The following is a 6966-nucleotide window of genomic DNA, read 5'->3' on the forward strand; positions in this document are numbered from 1 at the left end:
TTTCTTCAAGTAATCTCTGTATTACTTTTTCTTTTATAGTCTTCTTTTAAGATTTCTTTCATAAATATATTGATCTACTTTATAGTGTCCAATAAGCTTTACATTGCATGTTTAGTGTTTTACAATTTTGTTTCTGTGTTATATATTTTAGAATATGCCACCTCATAGCAGTTAATTGTGTTTTGATGTTTTAGTTTATATTATCATTTTATATGACAATATTAAAGTCTGTACAATTTAAGAATGGATAGAGCAAAATCAAATATTAGTCTTTCATTCATATATCTGTTTCCAATATAGTTATGTTTGTTTCCCTGTATAAATATTATCTCTATCTTTTATGACTGTATATTTTTTGTGTAGGTTTGTTGTGAATGGTTGTTTAATCTTTTCTAGGTAAGCTGTCATAAACATTTTACTAGTTTTAGCATCTATTTGTGAATATATTATTTTTGTGTGGGGAAAAATTTTGGACTTGACAATAATTTAAAAACTTATCAGAACTTTATTAGGTATTATTGTTCATTTTTACTTGTCAAAAACACATAATCTTTACAGTCAAATGTTTTTAAATATTCGGTTTAGTCATATTAATGGTATTGACAATGCTATGCAACATATCCCTAGAATGTTTTTATCTCACAAAGCTAAATCTTGACACATTGAACAGCTACCAGTTTTTTTCATTTCTTGGTGCTTTTCAAATGCCACTATGTTTTCTGTTTTTAACAGTGTAACTGCTACATATATCTCATTCTATCTCTGACTTTTTATGACTGGCTCGTTTCATTTTGCATAATATCATCAAGCTTTATCTTTATAGTTGTTAAGAATATTTTCTGCTTATAAATCCTGAGTGATATTCCAGTATTTTTATATTTCAAATTATTTCTACTGAATGATTTGGTGACAGAAATTTGCATTGCTTTTAGTTATTGGCTTTCAGTAAAAACTGTAATAATTATAGATATGCAAATAGCTCTTTATATAACTATATATATGACAGTTTATATATGTGCTGCATTCTCTTTTATTATTCTGCTTTTTAACTTTTATATTCATAGTAAATTGTTTTAATTCTGTAGCTCGTAATGTGTTTTGAAATCAGGAACTGTAATGCCTTCAACATTGTTTCTTTTTTTGAAGATTGTTGAGTATTTTATTTTCTCTTGAGATTCCATATACTTTTGCTATTGCTGTTTACATTTTTTCAAAAATGCAGTTAGAAATTTAGTTAAATATCATTAAATCTGTAGATTACATTGAGCAGCATGGACATCTTCAAAATATTAATTATTTCAGTTTTTGAATAGATGCATTCTCCAGAGTGTGCTGTTTAATTTTTATATATTTATAAATTTTTCAGGTTTTTTTCTATTATTGTTTTATACCCTCATTCCATTTTGGTCATACAAAGTAATGCATAAAAATTTTGTTTTATGAAATTTGTTAAGACTTTTTTCAAGGAGAATCTTGTAAGATCGTGTGAGTATTTATTTATTTATCTGAGACAGAGCCTTGCTCTGTCACCCAGGCTGGAGTGCAATGGCCTGATCTTGGCTCAGTGCAACCTCCTCCTCCCAGGTGAACCTGCCTCAGCCTTCCAAGTAGCTGGAATTGCAGGCACCTGAACCATGCCCAGCTAATTTTTGTATTTTTAGTAGAGACAGGGTTTCACCATGTTGGCCAGGCTGGTCTCGAGCTCCTAACCTCAGGTGATCTGCCTGCCTTGGCCTCCCAAACTGCTGGGATTATAGGCTTGAGTCATCACAACCGGCCATATGAGTTATTGAGAAGGGTGTGTATCCTGATGTTGAGGAGTGTTCTCTATACTTCTTTTAGAAATAAATGTTTTATACTCTCTTCAAATTTTCTCTTTCCTTATTAATATTCTATCTTGTTTTATTTTTATTACAGAAAGTGGCGTATTAAAATATCCTACTATAATTATATTGCTCTCTATGTGTTTCTTTAATTCTGTCAATATTTGCTTTATATATTTGAAAGCCAAATGTGAGATACACACACACACACACACACATTTGTTATGTTTACACTAAATGACTCTATTATTGTTAATTTCCTTCTTTGTCTCCATATAGTTTTGACTTAGAATACATTTTATAAAATATGACACTTTGACTTCAGATATAGCTTATGTAATATTATTTTGATCTCTTCTTCTCTCATTTGGTTAGTATCTGCATAGAATGTGTATGTCCGTCTTGCCACTTTCTGTCTTTTTTTATCATTAAATCTCAGCTGACTCTTGCAGGAAAGTAAGTTGGATTTTGGGTTTTAAGATTTTTTAAATAAATCCTTTTATTGAAAATATGTCTCTTGATTGGAAAATTAATTGTATATATATTTAAATAATTTTCTGAAACAAAAACTTAATAATGTTTTATTGTTTTATTTGATTCTTGTATCTTTGTCCCTCATTTTCTCTCTTTCTGCCCTCTTTTGTGTCTGTTTCACTTTTGTATTAATATGCTTTTACTTCTTGTTTTTTTCATCTAAACATATATTCTTTGTGGTACCTTGGGGATTACACAAAACCTCTAAAAGATATGAGAATATATTTTAATCTAGTAAAAAGTGAACTTCAGCTGAATACGAAAATGTTTCTTTGGCTGTGCTTGGTGGTTTACACCTGTAATCCCATCACTTTGGGAGGCTGAGGTGGACAGATCACTTGAGGTCGGGAGTTCGAGTCCAGCCTGACCAACATGGAGAAACCCTGTCTCTACTAAAAATATGAAAGTTTCCAGGCGTGGTGGCACATGCCTGTAATCCCAGCTACTCTGTCAGCTGAGGCAAGAGAATCGCTTGAACCCAGAAGGTGGAGGTCACAGTGAGCTGAGATTGTGCCATTGCACTCCAGCCTGGGCAACAAGATTGAAACTCCATCTCAAAAAAAAAAATATTCTTCCTCAAATTTTTTATTTTTATATTCTCTAGAATTCTTTAAATTTTATAGAATAATTACAAATGTTTTCTGCACCGTTATAACAATGGTAGGAAATTTCATTTTTATGTAAGTATGTACATATCTTTCCTAGAAAATAATGTATTTTTATATGATTATGTGTTTTCTTTTTTTTTTTTTTTTGAGATGGAGTCTCTCTCTGTCACCCAGGCTGGAGTACAGTGGTGCAGTCCTGGCTCACTGCAACCTCCACCTCCCGGGTTCAAGTGATTCTCCTTCCTCAGACTCCTGAATAGCTGGGATTATAGACACACACCACCACACATGTCTAATTTTTGTATTTTTAGTGGAGATGGGGTTTTGCCATGTTGGCCAGGCTGATCTTGAACTCCTGACCTAAGGTGATCCATCTGCCGTGGCCTCCCAAAATGCTGGTACTACAGGTGTGAGTCACCACACCTGGCCTGTCATTTTCTTGAATCATATTATTTTCAATGGAAGAAACTGCTTTCAGTATCTTTTATGTATAGGGCACATGCAGTGCCAATATACTTTTTCAGAATTTGATTACTTTGGAAGGTTTTTTTATTTTTGGCAGGACAGATTTGCTGATGGTATTATTCTCACTTGATAGGTATTTTTCCAGGACTTTGACTATATCACACAGTTCCCTTCTGGCCTCCAAAATTTTTGTTGACAGTTCAGTGGTTATCTGAAAGCCTGCTTGTAAGTGATACATCACTTTTTTCTTGCAGTTTCCAAGATTCTCTTTTTGTCTGTGACTTTTAAAAGTGTGCTTATATATGTGTTTGTTATAAGTATCTTTGTGTGTTTCCTAGTTTGTTTGTTGAGCTTCTTCGTTTTTATTTTATCTTTCTTTTAGAATTTTTTTGTTTGTTTGTTTTTGTTTTTTGAGACAGAGTCTTGCTCTTGTCTCCCAGGCTGGAGTGCAATGGCGTGGTCTTGGCTCACTGCAACTTCCACCTCCCAGGTTCAAGCAATTCTCCTGCCTCAGCCTCCTGAGTAGCTGGGACTACAGGTGCTTGCCACCACACCCAGCTAATTTTTTGTATTTTTAGTAGAGATGAGGTTTCACCATGTTAGCCAGTATGGTCTTTATCTCCTGACCTCATGATCTGCCCACCTCGGCCTCCCGAAGTGCTGGGATTATAGACATGAGCCACTGTGCCTGGCCAGAATTTTTTAGTTATAATTTCTTTTTGTATTTTTTACCTCCACAATTTCTGTTTTTTTGATATTTCATACTTTTGTTACCCTCATTTTTCTGTTTTTCTGTAGTTGTCTGTGTTTCCATTTCACTCGTTGAGTATTATTCAATTTAGGACATTATTAAAATCTACCTGTTACATAATTTATGGCATAGTCTGAAAACAATTGTCTTGGTTAGAGATTTTGGGAGTCTATCAAACAGGTTCTTATGATGTGTCTTGTCTGAATTTAGTTTTTACTTTCTAGTTAAAGGAGTTTATTCATGTTTCTTTATATTCATCGCTTGCTACACCTGTTCCCTGCCTGTGGTACTGCAGTTTCTCTGCTGCTGTAACATTTACATTTAGTCTCAGCAAACTCAAAGGGTCACTTCAAAGTATATGACCAGTTATTTTAGCACTTTATGTCATTGGAAACAGAAACCAAGTGTCTGGAAAAGCCCCTCAAAGACAGAAATAAAGATGTATGTGCCAGTATTTTACTTGTCTTTTAAAAAAGAATTCAGGAGCTTACAATTTACTTGTAAAGGCTCTTTGCTATATTGGGGAGCAGAAAGAGCTGTTTTGGGTAGATGCAATAAACTTTTCTCTTCATTCTATGAGGCTCTTTGTGGCACTGCACATACTTAACTCATTTATACATTTTCCACAAATGTATTTTGGTCTGTATGTTTTTGTTACATTTATGTCTATGAAGTAATTATGGCCTATGGTATTTTGCTATGCCATCTTATGTAGTTTGTATAATTTTATAGCTTAGATTTGTAAAGTATATCCATCTGAGTCTAGTAAGATGAAGTAATTTGTTATTTCTATTTTTTTCAGTTGTGTGTTCTCATTTTGCCCAAGACCTTTGGCCAGAGCAGGGCATAAAAGATTCTTTCCAAAAAGTAATACTGAGAAGCTATGGAAAATATGGACATGACAATTTACAATTAAGAAAAGGCTGTGAAAGTGTGGATGAGTGTAAGATGCACAAAGGAGGTTATGATGAACTTAAGCAATGTTTGACAACTACCCCGAGCAAAATATTTCAATGTGATAAATATGTAAAAGTCTTTCATAAATTTTCAAGTTCAAATAGCCAGAAGATAAGACATACTGGAAATAATTCTTTCAAATGTAAAGAATGTGGCAAATCATTTTGCATGCTTTCACACCTAACTAAACATGAAAGAAATCATACTAGAGTGAATTGTTACAAATGTGAAGAATGTGGCAAAGCCTTTAGTGTGCCCTCAAAGCTTAATAATCATAAGAGAATTCATACTGGAGAGAAACCCTACAAATGTGAAGAATGTGGCAAAGCCTTTAATGTGTCCTCAAGCCTTAATAATCATAAGAGAATTCATACTGGAGAGAAACCCTACAAATGTGAAGAATGTGGCAAAACCTTTAATATGTTCTCAAGCCTTAATAATCATAAGAGAATTCACACTGGAGAGAAACCCTACAAATGTAAAGAATGTGGCAAAGCCTTTAATGTGTTCTCAAGCCTTAATAATCATAAGAGAATTCATACTGGAGAGAAACCCTACAAATGTGAAGAATGTGGCAAAGCCTTTAACCAGCCCTCACACCTTGCTACACATAAGAGAATTCATACTGGAGAGAAACTCTACAAATGTGAAGAATGTGGCAAAGCATTCAGCCAGTCCTCACACATTACTACACATAAGAGAATTCACACTGGAGAGAAACCCTACAAATGTGAAGAATGTGGCAAAGCTTTTAAAGTATCTGTACACCTTACTACACATAAGAGAATTCATACTGGAGAGAAACCCTACAAATGTGAAGAATGTGGCAAAGCCTTTAACCAATCCTCAGCCCTTACTACACATAAGATAATTCATACTGGAGAAAGACCTTACAAATGTAAACAATGTGGTAAAGGTTTTAGCCAATCCTCAACCCTTACTAAACATAAGATAATTCATACTAAAGAGAAACCCTACAAATGTGAAGAATGTGGCAAAGCTTTTAACCAATATTCAACCCTTAATAAACATAAGATAATTCATGCTAGAGAGAAGCCTTACAAATGTGAAGAATGTGGCAAAGCCTTTAACAAGTCCTCAATTCTTAACAGACATAAGATAATTCATACTAAAGAGAAATCACAAACCTTAAAGATGTGACAATGCTTTTTATGAAATCCCAAACTTTTTTAAACATAAAAGAAATGCTGGTGGCCAGGCACAGTAGCTTACGCCTGTAATCCCAGCACTTTGGGAGGCCGAGGCGGGCAGATCACCTGAGGTCAGGAGTTCGAGACCAACCTAACATGGTGAAACAACGTCTCTACTAAAATACAAAAAAAATTAGCCGGGTGTAGTGGTGGGCGCCTGTAATCCCAGCTAGTTGGGAGGCTGAGGCAGGAGAATCGCTTGAACCCGGGAGGTGGAGGTTGCAGTGATCTGAGATCACGCCATTGCACTCCAGCCTGGGCAACAGGACGAGACTCTCTCAAAAAAAACAAAAACAAAAAAAAGTGCTGGTGAGAACTCATAGAAATGTGAAGAATATGAGAAAGCCTTTAAATGGTTGTCTCACTTGATTGTAGGTAAGATACTTTATACTGGAGAAAACTCCTACAAGTGTGAAGAATGTGGCAAAACTTTTGACTAATGCTCACACCTTGGTGCACAGGAAATAATTTATATTTTAGACAACTTGTACAAGTATAAAGAATGTGACGAAGCCATTAATAACTGCTCACATTTTAACATCAGAGAGCTAATACAAGCATTAAAGGTGCAATTACTGTCAAAAGATCTTCCAGAAAATATAAGCCTTTAAAATGTA

At 34.4% G+C, this 6966-nt stretch overlaps 1 protein-coding gene across 5 annotated transcripts in view; it reads left to right on the forward strand.

Annotated features, from left to right (window-relative positions):
* Nucleotides 1-6533, forward strand: part of ZNF723 (zinc finger protein 723) — a 46450-nt gene extending 39917 nt beyond the window's left edge. For all 5 annotated transcript variants that reach the window (XM_047439223.1, XM_024451652.2, XM_047439225.1 and 2 more), the window contains one exon: nucleotides 4984-6533. In XM_047439223.1, the coding sequence (XP_047295179.1) occupies nucleotides 4984-6299 (1316 nt within the window). In that variant the 3' untranslated portion in view covers nucleotides 6300-6533. The remainder of the gene's footprint in view (nucleotides 1-4983) is intronic.
* Nucleotides 6534-6966: the final 433 nt, after the last annotated feature.

This window comes from Homo sapiens, chromosome 19, assembly GCF_000001405.40.
Source record: "Homo sapiens chromosome 19, GRCh38.p14 Primary Assembly".
In the NCBI taxonomy this organism is placed as follows: domain Eukaryota; kingdom Metazoa; phylum Chordata; class Mammalia; order Primates; family Hominidae; genus Homo; species Homo sapiens.